The sequence below is a fragment of the Homo sapiens genome, chromosome 2 (assembly GCF_000001405.40).
Source record: "Homo sapiens chromosome 2, GRCh38.p14 Primary Assembly".
Classification (NCBI taxonomy): Eukaryota; Metazoa; Chordata; class Mammalia; order Primates; family Hominidae; genus Homo; species Homo sapiens.
In genome coordinates this window covers 12139091-12159874 of record NC_000002.12, presented here as the reverse complement: position 1 = coordinate 12159874, position 20784 = coordinate 12139091, and the positions used below count along the sequence as shown (strand labels likewise).

The following is a 20784-nucleotide window of genomic DNA, read 5'->3' as shown; positions in this document are numbered from 1 at the left end:
AAATAAAAAAAATAAAAAGCTCTAAACCAGGTAGATATAGAAGAGTTCCTTAACTTGATGAAGGACAGTTATAAGAAACCTACCATTGATCTTATATTTAGTAGTGAAGACTTTATGCTTTCCCCCTAATATCAATCACTGCAAGGATGTAAATTTTGTCTCTTCTATTTAACATTACATTGAAAGGAAGAAAAAAAGAAGAAAGGAAAGAAGGAGGTAGGGAGGAAAGGAAGGAAGAAAGAAGGAAGAAAAAAGGAAAAACTAGAAAGAAAGAAAGCTAGGGGAAAAAAGATTAGACAGAGGGATATAAAACTCTTTATTCACATGACACAATCCTATATGTAAAAAATCACATGACACAATCTTATATGTAAAAATATTCTAAAGAATGCACAACAATACTACTAGAACTAATAAATGAGCTTAGCAGGTTGGAGTATATGCTGGCAATAAACAATCCAAAAATGAAATCAAGAAAATAATGCAATTCATAATGGCACTAAAAAGAATAAAATATTTAGGAAAAATTTTAACAAAAGGAATGGATAATTTTTACTCTGAAAACTACAAAATATTGCTAGAAGGAAATGAAAAGGCATCTCATGCTCATGGAGTTGAAGACTTAGTATTGTAAAGATGGTACTTTTTACTAAATTGATTTATTGATTCCACACAATCCCTATCAACATCCTAGGAGAATTTTTAGTAGAAATTGACATGCTAACCTACATTTATATGAAAATACAAAGGATCTAGAAAAGCCAAAACCATTTTGAAAACAAAAATAATAAAGTTAGAGAACATTATTTAATGCCAAAACTTACTATAACTCTATAGTAATCAAGATAGTGTGGAAGGATAGGTACATCAACTAATGAAATAGAATTGGTGTCCACAAAAAACCTTGTATTTATAGTCAACTGACATTGAGCAAAGATTCCAAAGCAACTCAGCAGGGTAATCTTTTCAATGAATTGCAAATGGTGCTAGGAAAATGGAAGATTCATATAAAATAAAAATGGAAAGGAAAATGGAAGATTCATATAAATTAAAAAAAAACCCTAGACTCTTATCTCACATCATACACAAAAATTAACTACAAATGGATCATATATTAAATATAACTGTGAGAAATGATAAGATTTCTAAAAGAACACATAGGGGAAAACCTTTGAGATATTAGTTAGACAAAGAGTTGTTGGATGCAATACCAAATGCATGAGCCATAAAGGAAAAAAAGAAATGATAAATTGGACTCCATTAAAATTTAAAATATTTGTGTTTCAAAAGATACCATTAAGATAACGAAAGAAACAAGCCACACATTGAAATAAAGTATTTGCAAACCATGTATCTGATGAAGCACATGCATCAGAAATGTAAAAACTCATTAACTCAAAAATAGGATGCCCAAAAAGCCAAATACAAAGTTGGCAAAAGACTTAAACAGATATTTCACCAAAGAAGGCATATAAATGACTAACAGTCATCTGAAAAGGTGTTTATCATTAGTAATTAGGTAAATTCCACAACCACTGGAATAGCTCGAATTTTAAAAGCCAGATAATATCGAGCGTTGACAAAGATGTGGAGTAACTGGAAAACCCCGCCGCCATGCCCTCGTAGCTGGTGGGAACACAAAATGATACAGTTACTTTAGAAAAACAGTTTGAAAGTTTCTCAAAATGTTAAACACAAACTTACCATGAAACCCAACAGCTCTACTTTTAGGAATATACCCAAGAGAAATAAAAATATATATCCACACAAAGATTTGCACATGAACATATAGCATCATTATTCTTCATAGCCAAAACTGGAAACAATGTAATTGTCCATCACACAATGGATTGATAAGCAAAATGTATTTCAGCTGTATACTTAAATACCACCCAGCATTGTAAAAGGACAAAATAGGGATAACCTGCTTCAACACAAATGAACCTTAAAAAATTATGCCAAGAGTAAAGAAGCCAGAAAAAACTATATAGCATATTATTCCATTTTTATGACACATCCAGAAAAGGCTAATTGATAGAGACCAAAAGCAGATCGGTTCTTGGCTGAAGCTAGGAGTGAGAATGGAGGTTGACTGCAAAGTCAAGGGGATTACTGGGGGGTAATGGAAATGTTCTAAAACTAGATTTGGTTTGATGGTTGCACTACTCTGTAAATTTTCTAAAACTCCTTGAATTGTACACTTACAATAGGTGAGTCTCATGGAATGTAAATTATAAATGAGCTATGTTTAAAAACAGATTAGAAACTCTGAATAAACCCCAGGCGCAGTGGCTCATGCCTGTAATCCCAGCACTTTGGGAGGCTGAGGCGAGTGGATCATGAGGTCAGGAGATCGAGACCATTCTAGCCAACACGGTGAAACCTCGTCTCTACTAAAAATACAAAATTTAGCTGGGTGTGGTGCTGCGTGCCTGTAGTCCCAGCTACTCGAGAGGCTGAGGCAGGAGAATCACTTGAACCCAGGAGGCGGAGGTTGCAGTGAGCCGAGATCGCGCCACTGCACTCCAGCCTGGGCGACAGAGCGAGACTCCATCTCAAAAAAAAACAAAAACAAAAACAAAAAAACAAAGAGAAACTCTGAATAAAAGAGAACAAAACCCCCTTAAATACCTCACTGAATGTCCTTTGTGTCTCTCATGCTGCATGAGCTGAGACCTTGGATCTCAAGCTCGTTTCTGCCCACCCTTTGAGAACTGAAGCTCCCCATGTCTGAGAGAACTCCGTGTCCAGCTTCCCCTGAACTATTCAGTTCCATTCCCTAGGAAATGCTCACCTCTTTTTGCAACCCATAATTTACACATTTCAGAGACTATTCTTTCTTTCCTTCTACCAGGTATGAGCAAAGCCCATCCTCAGATGACCTGCACAATAACTAATATATAGTCTATTATAATAATGCTTTCAGCTGCATTTTTAAGCAGAAAGCCCACTTGTAGAAGAGTTCTCATTTTTTGTTATAAAATTTTCCAATTAGATTGAGTGCATTTGACCCAATTTAAGAGAGAAGAAAATACTCTCTGGTATTTTCAGATAAGACATATTTTTTCTTGTCAGTAACAGAGCTGCTTTCTCCATTTCCAGAAACCTCTGGGCAAGGAAACATGTCAGCAGTAGAGCTAACTCAGAACTGTGTTTGAATTCAGGCTGACAAGGTCTGTTTGAATGCGGGTTCTGCAAGAATCCACAGTTTTGTGGAGTAATATGACCTTCAGCTCCACTTGTTCTATCTGCTAGACAGTTCTACTTTTCAGGGTGATCTCCTCTGGGCATGGATTCTGTCCTTAAGGCATATGTAAATTTTTAACCGCAGGGCCAAACATCTACTATGTAAAACACACAGCGAAAGGCTGCAGGGAGATGTCAGGTTGAAGTGTATTTGGAGAGATCTTCATGCTAACTTGACAATCACTTAGACATCAAAAGGATATTGTCTTCTTTCCAAATGAAGTTCTCGGCCTGCATGATGCCCAAGACCAGATCCTGCACTCCAACTCAAGTCAAAGAAAATAGAGTCGAAAGATCAAAATGACTCCATTTAAATCATAATTGGCGTGTAACATCTGTTCCCATGTACATTCTCCTGTCAAGGACACAGTCTTCAGGAGAACCCACCTGTCTCACTGCACTCTCCATCTTTACTCTAAAAATTCAGAAATCCATGTCTAGTCTTGCTCATCTAGTGCATTCTCCCCATTGTTGCCCAAATAATCTTTCAAAAAATATCATCAATTTTCTGCTCATTATTCTTTGTAGGCTCTGTCTGCTTCTGGCATAAAGTTTAGACACCCAAGCCTGGCATCCACACTATCATCTATATTTGTACTGAAACCTCTCAGCTAGGTTCCGGTTTCCTTGTGCAGCCCATAGTCTGGGGTCAAATGATTTGCCTGTCTCCAAAGGAGCCACTCACACCCATGGGTCAGCCCAGCACTCAGCTGCATCCTGTGCTGGCTTCTCCTTCTGAGACTGTTTATTCTTTCTTCAAGCCTCAGCTGCAATATAATCCACTCTCGGAAAACTTTCCAAATTGCTCTCCACCCAGAGGTTAGTCACTTCCTTCTCTTTGTCCTGTGGAACCTCACAGATACATATTTCAAAGCATTTCTGTCCCGATGCCATAGAATTGTTCATAAGTCAGTGGCCTGGAAAGACCACAAACTCTTCCAGGCCTGGCACTTTTTCATATTTATTTGGTGTCATCCTTTGGACAAAATGGGAAACATAGGAAAGAATTAATAACGAATAACAAATTGTGGAGGGAGGAGAGGGAGAAGGAAGTATTTACTCAAAGTCTCGTAGCTTGGGGGAAACAGTGGGAGGTAAGACAAGACACTGAGATAAGGAATGAGATGCAAAGAAGGCGTTGGGAATGGAAAAACAGTAAGTTTATTTGTAACATGTGGTATACCAAGGGCCTGTGGGGCACTGGGTGGGGTTGTCAAGTGGACAGTAGGGTATGCTTCTGAATGTTCCTCAATGTTTGAGGCAAAGGAGAAAGGTCAGGTTTGGAAGTGAAAGTTTTTAAAAGTCAGCAGCCTTTGTAGGTAGCTACAGCCATGGATATCATGAAAGTCTGAAAAACTGCGGAGAGCTATAAAACCCTGTATAATCAAAGATTTTAAAAGTAGACATCAACAGAATGAGAAGACATGCCCCAGACTGGGAGAAAACATTTGCAAAAGACATATCCGATAAAAGACTGTTATCCAAAATATACAAAGAACTCCTAAAACTCAGCAATGAGAAAATGAACAATCTGATTTTTAAAATAGGCAAAAGGCCTCAAAAGACACTTCACAAAAGAAGGTGTACAGAAGGCAAATAAGCGTATGCAAAGTGCTTCATATCATGTGACATTAGGGAACTGCAGATTAAAGCAGCAATGAGATACCACAACACACCTATTAGGACACCAAGGGACAAAACACTGACAGCAACAAGAGGAAAGATGTGGAGCAGCAGGAGCTCACAGCTGCTGCTGGTGGGAATGCAAAACGGTGCAGCCACTTTGGAAGACAGTTCAATAGTTTCTTACAAAACTAAACATACAAATATCATACGAACCAGCAATTGTACTTCTTGGTATTTATCCAAATGAGTTGAACGCTTAGGCCCACACCAAAACCAGCACACAGATGTTTATGGCAGATTTGTTCGTAATGTCCAAAACTTGGAAACAACCAAGATTTCCTTTAGTAAGTGAATGGACAAATAAACGGTAGTACATCCAGACAATACAATGTTATTCAGCACTAGAAAGAAATGAGCTATCAACCAGCCTGGCCAACATGGGGAAACCCTGTCTCTGCTAAAATACAAAAATTACTTGGGCGTGGTGGTGTGTGCCTGTAAACCCAGCTACTCGGGAGGCTGAAACAGGAGAATTGCTTGAGCCCAGGAGGCAGAGGTTGCAGTGAGCCGAGATCATGCCACTGCACTCCAGCCTGGCCGACAGAGTGAGACTCCAGCTCCAAAAAATAAAATAAAAAAGAAATAAGCTATCAAGCCATAAAAAGACATGGAGGAAACTTAAATGCATATTATTTAGAAAAACCAATTTGAAAGGCTATGTACTGTATAATTTCAACTATATGACATTTGAGAAAAGGCAGAACCATGGAGACAGTAACAAAATTAGTGTTACTAGGGATTTGCAGATTAGCTGGGAGGGAGGGATAAATAGGTGAAATACAGAGGATATTCTGAGCAGTGAAACTATTCTGTAAGATACTACAATGGATATGTTCTTATATGTTTGTCAAAACCCAAAGAGTACACAGCAACAAGTGTGAACTCAAACTATCAACTCTGGGTGATGATGATGTATCAAGGTAGGTTGTCAACTATAACAAACGTGCCTCTGCTCAGAGATGTTGATAGTAGAAGAGGTTCTGCATAGTGGGAACTCTCTGTACTTTGTTCCATTTTGCTGTGAACCTAAAACAGCTCTAAAAATAAAGTTTGTCAATGTTTTCTTAAAAGTAAACAGAAGAATAAAAGTCAATGAAGGACCAGGAAGGAAAATTCAGAGTGACACATATCTACAAGATTTAAATGAAAATGTTTTCCTCTGATTTATTCTTTCCAGAAAATGCTCCTGCAGGCCAAGCATGGTAGCTCACGCCTGTAATCCCAGCACTTTGGGAGGCCAGGTGGGCAGATCGGGTGAGCCCAGGAGTTCAAGACCAGCCTAGGAAATATAGTGAGCCTGTTGTCCCAGCTATTCCGGAGGCTGAGGTGGGAGGATAACTTAGCAGGAGTTTGAGGCTGCAGTGAGCTGTGATCATGTCACTGCACTCCAGCCTGGGGAACAGAGTGAGAACCTGTCTCAAAAAGAAAAAAAGAAAAGAAAAGAAAAGAAAGAAAGAGAGAAAGAGAGACGAAAGAAAGAGAGAAAAGAAAGAAAGAAAGAAAGAAAGAAAGAAAGAAAGAAAGAAAGAAGGAAGGAAGGAAAGAAAGAAAGAAAGAAAGAAAGAAAGAAAGAAAGAAAGAAAGAAGGAAAGAAGGAAAGAAAGAAAGAAAGAAAGAAAGAAAGAAAGAAAGAAAGAAAGAAAGAAAGAAAGAAAGAAAAGAAAGAAAGGAAGGAAGGAAGGAAGGAAGGAGGGAAGGAAGGAAGGAAGGGAAGGAAGGGAAGGAAAGGAATGAAGGGAAGGAAGGGAAGGAAAGGAAGGAAGGAAAGGAAGAAAGGAAGAAAGGAAATACTCCTGCAGAGTTCTGTCACATGAGAGAGGGACAGTCGCCTGTGTGTGTTTGGGGATATGGGAGTCTAATTGATATTTACACAGCCTTTCAACCTCTCTGCCTGTTTTCGGCTCCATCATAAACCCTACGTTGAGAAATATCTACTATCTCCAATGTTGAAGGCTTCCTCAGGTTCTGAACTGCAAACTGCTTTTCCTTTTTATTTTTCCCCATTTCTTCCATGGGATTAAGCTTTTTAAAGTCTGTAAATTCAATTATCACCTGTCCATCAGCTTTCTGGTTCCAAGTCTTTTGATATATTCTCCCTTCCTGTTCTGTTATTTTTTTGCGATTAATGCCATTTTAATAGTGCTACAGGGAGAGTAGAGGTAAATGTCTACATTCAAAATGCCATATTCAATGAGAACCCAGTTTTTTTTTCTGTTTTTCATAAGACCAGATGGCACTATCTCAAAAACTGAGATTTTCCCCTAAAATCATAACATTTTAATTTTGAAATGACTATAGATACTCCTAAAGTTAGAGTTTGGTCATACCACATAAACTAGTTATTTCTTTTCTTTTTTTTTTTTTTTTTTTGAGACAGAGTCTCGCTCTGTCACCCAGGATGAAGTGCAGTGTTGTGATCTGGGCTCACTGCAAGCTCTGCCTCCTGGATTCACGCCATTCTCCTGCCTCAGCCTCCCGAGTAGCTGGGACTACAGGCGCCCGCCACAACGCCTGGCTAACTTTTCATATTTTTAGTAGAGACGGGGTTTCAACATGTTAGCCAGGATGGTCTCCATCTCCTGACCTTGTGATCCTCCCACTTCAGCCTCCCAAAGTGCTGGGATTACAGGCGTGAGCAACCACACCCAGCTTAACAACTACTTTGCCAGCTACTGATTTAGCTACTGATTTAGCTGCTTTTCATGAATTATCTCATTTAATACTTAGAACATTTCTATTAGATAACTATTAATGCCTCTTAACAGATGAGAGAAGAAGCAATAAATAATTGTTCAAAGAAGACACCCCTAATGAATGGCCACACACATACACACACAGCCACCTGGAACCCAGCCCCTATTTTTCAGATTATAAACATCAGATTATAAATTAACAACAGATAAGACAACTTTCCTTTGACCACGGGAATGTCTTTTATTATTGTTATTGTTTTACAGATGCTCTCTAGGTCGTGGTCTGAGGAATGTTGCTCCCGTCGTAAGGATGAGGCCACTCCCCTAAGAGAGCTCTAACCCAAAGGGCAGGTCACAGCAGGCTGTATTAATCACCTCAGTCTGGCCTCTAAAAAGAGCACTGAAGGGGAGGCAGCATTTTGGAAACTAAAGTTTGTCATTTGTCAACCTCGGTTAGGTGTCTGGACAATGGATACTTAATCTGGCTGATGATAAGATACAAGATCCGTGGTCCCACCCCAGATATTAAAATACACCAGGAGGGAAGGCAATGAACAATTTCCCTCATGCAGTTCACATTCTGTTGGAATGAGACATCGAAAGATGAAGAGTCAGGCAAAGTAGCAGAAGCAAGTGTGGGCCGTTAGGTGCAATGATGTCGTTCTGTCCAGAGGAAGAAGACACACAGGAGATAGTGAAGTCACCAGCTGTCAAGTGTATTGTCCATGCAATGGTCAGAAACCAGTAACCAGTAAGCCAGACAAAATGTATTCTTTTTCCATTTTCTTTATTCATTTTTCCCCAGGCTCTGAATATGGATTTTGAAGATGTGGCGCGTCTTAATGCCTCTGACCAGAGGCAAATATAATGGGGTGGGAAAGCAGTCAAAATATAATGGGGTGGGAAAGCAGGGTTCACCTGGGTCTCTGCATGGCAGTGGGTGCTGCAGTTAGAGGGTGGGGCCCCAGAGGGCCTGGGCTGAGACCCAGGATGGCAGAGTCAGGGCTGCCCAATCACTAGCCCCCCTGGAGCCAGACAGTGTCCTTCTATAATTTGGTTCTATGTTTCTGGAGGATCCTATATTTTGCTTTAAAATGAGTGGCCCTATCCTTATATAGTGGTTCTTTGATTGAGTTATTCATGTTCCCTAATATATCTGGAGATGTGCCATGGATATTGGAATTTGGGAAACTGACGTGGCCCATCTTCCTGGAATGTTGATTTTATTTCATGGTAAGCACTTTTAAGAATTAATCTTATATTTTAAAAACTGGGTTGTATTGTGGGATAGAAGGCAAAATTCACTGCAATATGTTTAAAGATGAAAGGAATCATTCTAAAAAGCATTTTCATAAGCAGAGAATGCTTGGAACTCTGACCTGCAGAAACCCACTTTCTCCTGCCTTTAAGATAATGTTTCATTTATTCACATTTCCATTATCAAACATTGACAAGGTTCCTGATATATGCCAGGCACATTTGGTAGTGAGAGCAATGAGATCCCATTCTCATGGCGGTTACAGTCTAGAAACAAGAGGACACACAGTGCTGACACCTGAGGAGGAAACAAAGCCAGCAGGAGCCAGAGTGAGTTGAGGGGAGGCTACTTAATGAAAGTGAGTTGGAAAGGCTTCTGTGACAAGGTGCCATTTGAGGTAAAACCCACATGTTGACAAGGAACCAGCCATGTGAAGAGCTGGGAGCATTCTAGGCAAAGGGCAGAGCCAAGCAAAACCTCCCTGAGACATAAAGAAGCTGGAGTGCCCAAAAGTAGACAGCAGAGCAGGGAATCTGCAGCTTAACAGGTGCGCATGGGGAGAAGCAGGTGCAACAGAAGTTGCATCAGAATCACCTGGTGAGCACAGACAAAAATGCAGCTTCCCCGGCTCCACCCAGATCGACAGATTCAGAATCTAAGAGGCAAAAACCCAGAATTCTACATTTTAAGATTCTCCAGGTCCTCCCTGACACACACACACACACACACACACACACACACACACACACACACACACAGTTAACAACACCATTTTAAATAAACTTAAGTTGAAACATTTTTGAAACACAGTCATGTGAGCTACCATGATTGCTTGGGAATTTCTTCCTGAATAAGCCCATGACGTTGTACAAGAAAGTGACAGGGCTGTCTTCCAAAACTCTATCATACATCTTTTCCTGGTGAACCCAAACCTCAGATTTTCTTTATCTAGTGGAACTTTCCAGGAAACAACAAAAAAGTGATTCACTGCAAGGGAAAAATGGGCTGTTGTTTCAGAAGAGCAGACCCCTATTGCACTCCTGGGCTGTGTGGCAGCCTGCACTTAGTTTGGTTTTTCATATGAAATAAAGAAGCACTGGGGTTTGATTGGGCAACAGCTGTTCTCATGAATTAACTATCTCTGAATTTAGAAAATTGCTGTGTTCACCAGATTATCTTCCCAGCTGGTTAAATGAAGACAAACAGAGACAATTATTATAATTTTGTGCAGTTGTGGGGGTTATTCCGCAAAAGTTACAGTATTTCTATATTTTTTACATTAGAGATAAAAAGAGATGAATGACTTTAATTTTCTTGGAACTTCAATTACAGGGCTTGAATTGTCCCTGAGATAAGGGAGAGAAGTTGAGAATTCCCAATACAGAGCCATCCTATTAAAGATGATCTCCAAGATCAGTAATGCAAACAGAACTGTGGAGCATGCCAAGAAACTCAGATTTGCTCTTATTTTCAATTATTTTAGTAGTTACTTTTTGACATTTACCAACTTCTCAATAAGGAGAGTGTCCATGAGGTCTGTCAGATACATAATTTGATGCTGACAGTGATCGTGACTTCCAAAGGGAATCAGATGTTACTCGGGGTTTTAGCTTCATGTATCCCTCACCTGTCCTACAAGGAGAAGAGAGGGAGGGGAGTCAGTTGTTTCAACCAAGAAACAGAGGAAGGTAGTTTAACTGAAGCTCAAGATTAAATCTTGAGTTACCAAATATATAACTGTGGAAGCTATATAAAACACAGTTTATGGCCAGGCACAGTAGCTCACGCCTCTAATCCCAGCACTTTAGGGAGGCCAAGGCAGGCAGATCACGAAGTCAGGAGTTTGAGACCAGCCTGACCAACATGGTGAAACCCCGCCTCTACCAAAAATACAAAAATTAGCCAGGCATGGTGGCATGTGCCTGTAACACCAGCTACTCAGGAGACTGAGGCAGGAGAATTGCTTGAACCCAGAAGGCGGAGGTTGCAGTGAGTGGAGATCGCACCACTGCACTCCAGCCTGGGCGACAGAGACTCCATCTCAAAAAAAAAAAATACACAGTTTATGTCACTAAGTTTATCCCTTTGATTCTCACACAATGACCCTGAGAGGCTACATCTGCATTGTTAAAGAAATTGAGACCCTGAGAGATTCAAGTTTACCCCAGAGGGTCTGCCTGAAAGTAACTATGTATTCTCAATCTAGATACTAGATTCTACCATATGTCGCACTTCACAAAACTGCCAGGCTTTTCCACCTCCGTATCTGAAGAAAGGAAAAAAAATTAACTTCATATAGACAGCCATGAGGTGAGAGGTAGGAAATTTGGGGTCTTATTTTGGATCGCTTACTAATTTAGTATTTCCCACACTGGTCCTAGTTTAGGAGAATAAGCAGACTTGGATGGAATGACTTGTCTAAAATTAATCAATTCTGTGTGGAAGGACATTCTAGAATATGTGCATTATGCAATGTGTATATATTTATATATGTTTGTATATATGATGAAGTCTCATCCACGGTTTCGGAGGATGTCCATAACAATCGTATCCAAGCCTCTAGGCTGGCTGGTCCAATGGATACAGCGTTAGAATCTACCAGCTCTTCAAACAGTTTGGACCTGATAGATTCTCAAAGACATTTTTCTCAGCACTTTCCTTCTTTTCATTTATATATGTTTTAAAGCTATAATTTTGCACTAGCTTGATTCACCCAAAAGGTAATCTGGAGAATAGAAACTTCCACTTTTGTTCCATAGCCAAGTTATCACTGTGAGTCAAGTGTACAGGAAGGCTCAGTTGATGAATGTTTCACAGGGACGCTTTATTCCCATGGGTGGACACCATGTGTGACATTGTCAAATAGGGGCCCAGAGGCTTTGGGATCATGGATGTGAGTGCGCCTCCAAACTCAGTGTCACTTTGCACTTGCGATGTACATATGTACACCCCTCATTCGGGAGAATTCTACTTCTGAGAACCGCAAGAAAGAAGTCTTCCCATTAAGAAACCTAGGAACTCATGAGTAAAATTGACTTAGGGCATAGTCATTGGAAGTGAATCTATAAAAGCGTTCAGAAATACTACGTGGTCCTTAAAATAAAACAATATACACGTAGACATTGAAGATACTATGAATGGCATCTTAGATTTCTCAGTTCAGTAAAATGTAATTCAGAATAACTGCATTACACTCTTGCCTATATCTATAACTGTATATGCCATTTAACCAATCTGCATGATTTTCTTTTGGTGTCTACTATTTCATCGGAACATTCAGTGCTTTTCTGAAGAGAGGGGGATTTCTTATCAGGCTTTCTAAAAACAGTTCAAACTCAAACATTGAATAATTTTATTCTGAACGATTTAACTCATAGCCTCAAAGTTTAGAAACACAGTAGTATTAAAAAGTTTCTATTAAATCATGAAGGCCGGGCATGGTGGCTCATGCCTGTAATCCCAGCATTTTAGGAGGCTGAGGTGGGCGGATCACCTGAGGTCAGGAGTTCAAAACCAGCCTGGCCAACATGGTGAAACCTTGTCTCTACTAAAAATACAAAATTTAGCCAGGCATGATAGTGAGCACCTGTAATCCCAGCTGCTTGGGAGGCTGAGGCAGGAGAATTGTTTGAACCCAGGAGACGGAGGTTGCAGTGAGCCAAGATCGTGCCAGTGTATTCCAGGCTGGGTGACAGAGGGAGACTGAGTTTCCAAAAAAAAAAAAAAAAAAAAAAAGATGAATCATGAGTCTCCAAGGTTAGAGGAGAAGTGGCTCCCATATGTATGCTTGCACAATAAGTACTGTTGGGCTTCATAAGGAATAGAAATCATTTCTGATTGCAATAATAAAAAAAATTGCTTATTACGTTACAATGCAATTACTCCAAGCTTGAGGTGGCATTTGAGTTCTCCATGAAGACTAAGCAGCATTTTTTAAAACTAGTATAGGGAAAAGGAAGTGTGTGAATAAAGGGAAATCCTCCAGGCAGGGTTGCAGAGGGGTCGGGGAGGAAGGCTGCAAGGTATATGCAAACTCACGGAAGAGGCAAGTTCAAGAGGCCATGGTGGGAGGTGAGACTGAAGACCGTTGCAGAAGCTCTTACCGCTGTACTTTCTGAGATAAACAGTGGAGAGACTTTGAACAGGCGGCTGCCTGTTGAAGCGATCCCTTCCGATTGTTGCTAGAGTCCCCAAGCATGTGCTGGGCCATGCACTGGGCCGTAGGTCATGACCATGGCATTGGCATGACCATGACCCCTTCTGTAGTATGATAGGAAATATATTTGGTCTTTGTCCCTGATAAAGAGCTCCTAAAACACTTGGAAGTTCCTGAGTGACAGGTGTATCCTTTGATATTCATAATGAGTCCCTTTTGGTCATACCTGAGTTTATACTTATGAGATGACTGAGGTTGGGGCCCCAAGATAGCCTCTGGATGGGACTGGTCACCAGAAAGACCAAGTGATTCGAGAGTTGGAACTTTCGTCCCCACCCACTGACCTCTGGGGGCTGGGGTGAGCTGGAGATGAAGCTCTATAAAAGCTCTTGAACAATGAGACTTGATGAGCTTCCAGGCTGCTGAACACGTGGAGGTGCACAGAAGCCCCCACCATCCCTCGCCCTCTGCAGCTCTCCCATCATCTCTCTGCTTTGTGGTATGTTTTATAATAAACCCATAAACACAAGTAAACTGTTTCCCTGAGTTCTTTGAGCCATCCTAGCAAATTATCAAACCTGAGGAGGGGGTCGGTGGTGGGAATTTCCGATTTACAGCCAGTCAGTCCACCGCACGGGAGGACCAGATTTGCCACTGGCATGGGAAGGGACTGTGGTCTTGCAGGACTGAGACTTACCTTGCAGGATCTGATACTAACTCCAGGTAAATGGAGTTAGAATTCAATTAAATAGTAGGACACCCAGATGGCATCAGAGAATCAGTCAGTGTGAGGGAAAAAACCGTACATGCAGTGTCAGAAGTGCCCCGTGAGAGTGGAGAGAGACCATTTTCACAGATCTTCTCAGGCCTCTGCATTGCAGGAGAGGAACCAGGAACTGCATTTCCCAGGTCCCCTTTCTCCTGCTGGTTCTGGGTTCCAGATGAAAGGGAGAGCGACTTTAGAGAGGCATGGAAAGTTGAGAGAAGACAGTGCCCGCCGGAAAATGTGTGGAAGGAGTGGTTCAAACAGGGGCCAAGCACACTTCCCAGGAGGCCCATCTTCATTGCTGCAGGCTGCAGGCCTTGGTGTGGCCTCCCTGACTGGATCTCCCAGCCGTCCAGTGGTTCTATAAGCCACTGCTTCCCTGTATGAACACCCTTTCTTTCTTGGAAAGCACAGGGTATCTCTGTTTCCTGACTGACAGTTTGGATGGGGAGAGACTGCCGGGAAGAAGAAGGTTTAAGAGGCATATATCAGTCTGGTGTGCAGTACTGGGCTCAAAACCAGAAACGAATCTCATTTTAAGCATCTCATATATTCACCCTTGATTGCTCAGTCACTCTGCACCAAAGTCCTCCTGATCACCCTTGGAGACAGCCAATTTCACCTTAGTCAAGGTAGGAGTGGGAGGTGGCTCACTCCCAGTTACATTTACAAGCCAAATTCCACCTTTGTCCTTTCCCTCACTTGGCTTTACCAGGCTGGTATCTATATTTCAACCCTTAACTTCATTGGACAACATCTGTATTTGAATCCAGAAGGTACATGGCTTCCACGGGGACAATTCTGATCCACTTTGATGGTTGAGCACTTTTTAATGTCAGGATTTCAGTGAAGTTTGAGAGAGAGAATTCAATTAGCCCAGTGTATAAGAACCTCTCATCAGTAAAGCTGACACAGTTCTCTCCTCAAATGTATCCTTCTTCCATCTCTACTGACTCAGAGCAAAATGACAAGCTTCCATGCCAGAAGAAACAGGCAGGAAATCTGCAGTCACCGAGTGTGGGGTAGGGAGCAAGGGAAACAGTATTCCATAATTAATCTATTAGGGTGGTATTGCAGACGTTCTCCCATTCTCTCTCACCCTCGCATCAGGAGAGTTTGGTATAATAGCCCCAGTTTGCTCAAAACTCTAGCTCACAGTTAAGAAACACCTGGCCCAGCAGCATGCAGCTGGCTGGAAAGTGGCAGGGCCATTTCTCTCAGGTTCCAATGTCCCCCAGGATCGTACTCCCTCCATTTACCAAGTGGTCCTGAACCCCTGAATCCAACTGATGAGCAAGTTCCCAGGCCAGTATTCAACACAGAGCACACCCAAGAGAGTAGATGCCGACAGGTGTGGGGCAGCAGGTAGAGACAGGTGTGCACTCCAAACTTGAATTAGGACATATTTTAACCAAAAGCCTTGTATGCTTCTAAACATAAGATGAAAACTGGAAGTAAATCTTGAGTGAGGTACTTCATAATGAGTTCACTTGGCTCTCCTGAATCCAATATTGAGGAGTTCCGCTGAATGAAATTCACTAGGAAAGGCTAGAAACAGGCTCATTATTTTTATTACCCTTTTAAAGGTTTCATTTAAATCCCAGGATTGTAATATACGTCCCATGTCCTGAAATTGTAAATTGAATCAAGACCAAGAAACTGGCCCAGAAAACTCGCCTGAGCTGCTGAAAAGGGTGATGCTTGCGGATGTGATTTCCATATGCCCGTGACATTTCTATCCCAAGGCCAAGTCCCCTGTATCACAGCTCTACTCACAGTGCAGGCATTCCTCAGCCAGGGCACCATGTGTCCTGAGGCTGAGAAAGTAAAGCTGTGGGTTCTGCAGAGCCACCTGCTCATTGTGCCCTGCTCGGGGCTGAGGAGCGGCTCATTTGTGGCCCTCCATGGAGCAGAAAGTCCAAGTGACTTCTTACAGTGGTGAAAGGAAAGCCTTGCTTTGCCTTTGTTTCCCTTGAGGACTTTCCATCACCTTCAGAATGAAGCTCAGGCTCTGCAACTTGGCATTTGATGTCCTTTGTGCCGTGACCCTGCCTTCTTCTCCAGCCACATCTCCTGACCCCCACTTCTCCCTGTGCCCCCCATAAACCCTGGGACCTCTTCATTGCCCACTGCTTTTCCCTTTTCAAGCTTAAAAATCTCCCCAAACTATTAACATATGATCTTCCAAATCCCAGTCAAGCAATATCCTCATGCAAAACTCACCTCTGCAATGACAATTTCTGAAACTCCCCAGAAAGCATTTTCCCTCCCTATGTATTTCCCTTGCAGCCAATGAATATCTCATGTAAAATGGTGGTGCATTCCCTTACAATCATTTCTTCCCATGTGATCCTCCAGATCAAGACCATGTACAACTCACTTTAATATTTGCTGGCCTGTCAGTGTGTTTGAAACATGTTAGGCACACAATATGTGATTTTTAAATAAAGTTATCCATTGATGATGTCCCTTAAATGACACATTTAGTGCTTTAAAGAGATTCCTGGATCTGGGATTCCAGGGCAGGACAAGGGAACATTGTCTTCTTCTTCTCTAACTCCTCCTTAGCCTCTTCTTGATCCAGCGAGAAGGAAGCTCGCTGGGTCCTATTACCTTTGATGGTGAAGACTTCCCACCAATAGACCCCAGGATAGCCACTGCCAGATGTAGCCCTTGTTGAATCCGTTTGTAAATCATTGAGTCAGGAGGTCTTTAGAGTTTGAGGTTAAAGTTCCCCATGCCATTGATTTGACAAAGGATGTTTTCCAGATAACCACCCCTGGAATCTTCAGAACTTAACCCTAGACATTGTATAGCACCTAGAAGCCCTGATATCAGAAGATGAAGTTTAGACAGGAGACACTCAAAGCCTAGGGTGAAGATTTAAACAGCAGACATGATTTCCATAGGAATAACTGTACCTTGGCAGGAGCCCAGCAGAAAATGGTCCTAGGATATGGCTGGAAATTAGAAAAGAAAGAAAGAAAGGAAAAAAGCAATGCAACCCCATGTCTGCACGAAGAAGGTATTTCTCTTTGCTGGAGTGTCTCAGAAGGATCAAACATGTAATTAGGAATAAAATATGTTTCCCCTGTCTCTGCCACTACCTAATCGCTAATTAGCTGGACTATATGCTGTTAGAAGAAAGATATGAATAATGTTTAGAGGCCTTCAGACAAGGATAACAGTCATAGCAATAGAGGAAACCAAGTCCATTGGTGTGTAGAAAAAGATGCTTGGTTTCTGAGACATACTTATGTCTGTGATATTTAACCAAACATCTCTTCACTGGAGCCACCTCGCTCTAAATACCTTTATCTGATAAGATGCATGATTTCCTTTTAGAAAAATCTATTTTCCTAGATTCCACTTTTAAACTAGATTGTAATCCTCATTTTCTTTGTCGGGACATTGAAGCTCTTGAGGCTGAGAGGAAACCTTAAGCCTCTGGAGACAGGATTTGTTCCTGCTTTGACAGTGGCCCTGATTAGAATCCTGCTGCACGCTGCTGTGCAATCTCCCTTCTTGTTTATTGCACGGACCATGATGAATGGCTCCTTTGTCTGGCTCTCCTAACTACACCGTCCCCCTTTGGGGCAGAAACTGGGTGTCCCCAACTCCCAGCCCTGGGTCTAACACAGGTCAGTAAATGAGTGACTTTGCTGATGGACCTCATCTCCCAAAAAATGCTGCCTCTTGGGGACAGGGGATATTGGCACCCTCCCTGAGAATTACACAGGAAGTGCATCTTTCGGTAAGATTGCATTTACTGCTTCTTCAAAAATTAAATAACACCTTATTTTTTTCACCATTACATTGTAAAAAAAAAAAGTAAACAGACTCAAAAATTGTCTGTGCTTCATTGAATCAAAGCATTAGCATATGCAGGCTTATGTCATCAGTTTTCATCTGATGGTCACAGAGCAAAGTCCCTGCAAAATGACTCTTGCCTTTCATAGATAATTTTAGATTTTAATTCATTTTTTTCTCTCCAGTAGATAAAGTGCTAGTGCACTTAGCCTTAAATAACATGAGGATGTCAAATTACAATCCAATGTCTTGAAAAAGGGCACCACCTATGCGTTGATGGAGATATAAAGACTTCAAAACAATTGCAGGGAACTCTAGAGACAGAATGTATGTTAAGAGGCAGTATCTTCCCTGCTTCATCAGTTTTTCTATAGTCTGAAAAAAAAGATGACATCACTAAATCTAATCATATTTGTCATGTCCAATGTATTCTATTCTAAACTTAAAAATAGCATATTAAATATTGCTGATCAGATAAAAATTTGAGCATATTACTAATGTTTTAGCTTATTTCATAAAAAAGACATAAACAGTATTTCCAGGACTTCTAGAGATGTATTGGGATGAGCATATGTAGGGGTGCATAAGGACACAGCACTGTGTGAATGCATCTTTATGGGGGGGCTGCATTTTGTTGGAGGATGCTTTTTAAAGGACAAATATCTGGCAGCAATCACAAATTCTGGATCATGGTTCTCCATCTGGTTGGATTTTGAGAGCTTGGGAATTGAGGCCCCAGTGGGCTTGTGGAAAATGCAAGAATGTCAATGGCCATGGCAGTTCTCCTTTCAGCAAACTCACCCCAACCCCCTTCACAAACACACACACACACACACACACACACAAATATGCATGCACGCAGTCTAACCCAGCTTTGTCCACAGGCTTTGAGAGTGCTTTGATGATTGGTCTCATTTGACTCCTTCTGTACAATGAATGTGGCTAAACAAAAAAGAAACCTCAGAAGATTCTTTCAAGCTAAACCAATTAGATCCAGACAGGTAAAATGAAGTTATGGATCCAGGGATTCTGAAAATACTCCGAAAGACATTTGCGGCTCCTGTGAATCAGTGGCACAGTTGAAAACACCAGAGTAAGAATGTCTGCCCAGTGTGCCACAGCTCTGAGCAGCAGCACACTGCCAGAGCCCTGGGCAGCAGGCCAGAGGCCCAAATGGAGGGTCCCCTGGGGAAAGGGAAGGAACACACTTCCCAGCTCCCCAGCTGCTAGGAAAGTACCTCCATAAAGACATCAGGACCTTCCTATTTACCAACTGCTCTATGCTTAGGTATTCATCCATACATGTGAGTGAATAAAGGTGAGTTTGGTCAAGTACTGTGCCATGTATCAGGAATTCAGACATAAACCACATACTGCCTTTGCTGTTTGGTGTCAAATGCAGCACAAATAATGATAAGAATAGCCACATTCATTGAAGCTGCTATGCTATGCTATGCTCCTAAAATTCATTACCTCAAAATCTCAAAACAACACTGCAAGGACAGATTATTTTCCCTCATTTTTATGCTGAAGAAACTAAAGCATGGGAGGTTAAGAACCTCATAATCACAGAGCTCCAAATGGCAGGGTAGGATTTGAACACAGGTCTATCTGCACCTTACCTAAGTTTACTAACCTATTTCACATGTAGCCTGTTTCTCCAGGTGTTAACATAGCATCTGCATTTCACAGGCTTTGTTTCCAGCTCTAGAGGGACATCCTCAGTTCCCTGCAATGCCCATCTCACCCTGGTGTTATTTCTCAAGGTCCCCAGAGAGTGTCTTGGAAATACTGCAGGATACCCTGTCACGTATCTCATGACCTACGTCCTTTTTCTCCTCCCTCCCCCCACCTGCCGCAGTGTCACCTTTTCCAGCCACCACCGTGAGGGTGACCCACATGCCAGCTTCTCATAGGGGCCATGGGAAGGCCAGGAACCTCCAGGTCCAGCCCTCTGTACAGCCAAGCTGACCAGCAGGGCTCAAGCAAAAAGAAGGCCTACCTCATCCCATCAACCTCACACTTTGCAATCAGGGCAACAGAGCAGAGCTCCTTCTGTCCATCATGGCGGTAATGATGTCAGTTTTCTGCTTGAGGACAATCCAAGTGACACACACCATATTATATCCTGAGTAGCTCTTCCCTCAGGCTCTGTTAGTTAACTAAACCTTTGTCCCTAATTAACTTTCTCTTCTCATAGGTTGTGTTTTCTTCAGAAAGCTGAGGCCCCATGCATGTGCCAGATGTGCCAAGTGAAGCCCAGTGGTGGTCAGATGTCCAGGAGACCCAGACTGGGCTCCCTCACTACACACACACATACACACACACACACACACACACAAGCACACACCCTTCTCAAAGTGAATATCTCTTCTGTGCAAAGCAAAAACTGTGTATCTTTGCCAGAACAGAAGCTATAGTTTGTGTGTGACCCATACTTAAGCCATGCAAACAGCTTTTACCTTGAGACTGACCATGCAAATGGACATATCCTTTCCAGGAAAGGGTGCGTATCCTAAGCTTTGTCTGAAAGCTCCAGCTGCGGGGAATGCAAAGAAGAAGGCCAGGGAGGATGGATGATGCAGTGCTCAGCCATGTTGAGGATCCTAATGCAATCTCCCCTTTAAGAAGAGGGGACAGGGGGTTGCTTCCAAGATGGCCAAACAGGAACTGCTCCAGTCCACAGCTCCCAGCGAGATTGACATAGAAGACAGGTGATTTCTGCATTTCCAACTGAGGTACCTGGTTCATCTCACTGGGACAGGTTGGACAGTGGGTGCAGCCCACAGAGGGCAAGTTGAAGCAGGGCAGGGCGTTGTCTCACCCGGGAAGCACAAGGGGTCGGAGGATTTCCCTTTCCTAGCCAAGGGAAGCCGTGAGTGACTGTACCTGGAGAAGCAGTACAATCCTGTCCAAATACTGCACTTTTCCCACAGTCTTTGCAACCACCAGACCAGGAGATTCCCATGCCTGGCTTGGTGGGTCCCACACCCACGAAGCCTTGCTCACTGCTAGCACAGCAGTCTGAGATCAACCTGGGATGCTGAAGTTTGGGAGGGGAGGGGCGTCCACCATTGCTGAGGCTTGAGTAGGTGGTTCTATGCTCACAGCGTAAACAAAGCAGCAGGGAAGCTCGAATTAGGCAGAGCCCACCGCAGCTCAACAAGTC

General features: G+C 42.1%; 1 long non-coding RNA gene across 1 annotated transcript in view, besides 2 other annotated features; it reads right to left on the bottom strand.

Annotated features, from left to right (window-relative positions):
* Nucleotides 1–20784, bottom strand: part of MIR3681HG (MIR3681 host gene) — a 571233-nt gene that overhangs the window by 418474 nt on the left and 131975 nt on the right. The gene's annotated exons all lie outside the window — the stretch shown is intronic.
* Nucleotides 8176–8376: a silencer, noted in NCBI's record as "peak3594 fragment used in MPRA reporter construct". NCBI's record gives its function as "represses an SCP1 promoter by STARR-seq MPRAs in K562 erythroleukemia cells {active_cell/tissue: K562}" and the evidence as "EXISTENCE:reporter gene assay evidence [ECO:0000049][PMID:32103011]".
* Nucleotides 9726–9926: a silencer, noted in NCBI's record as "peak3593 fragment used in MPRA reporter construct". NCBI's record gives its function as "represses an SCP1 promoter by STARR-seq MPRAs in K562 erythroleukemia cells {active_cell/tissue: K562}" and the evidence as "EXISTENCE:reporter gene assay evidence [ECO:0000049][PMID:32103011]".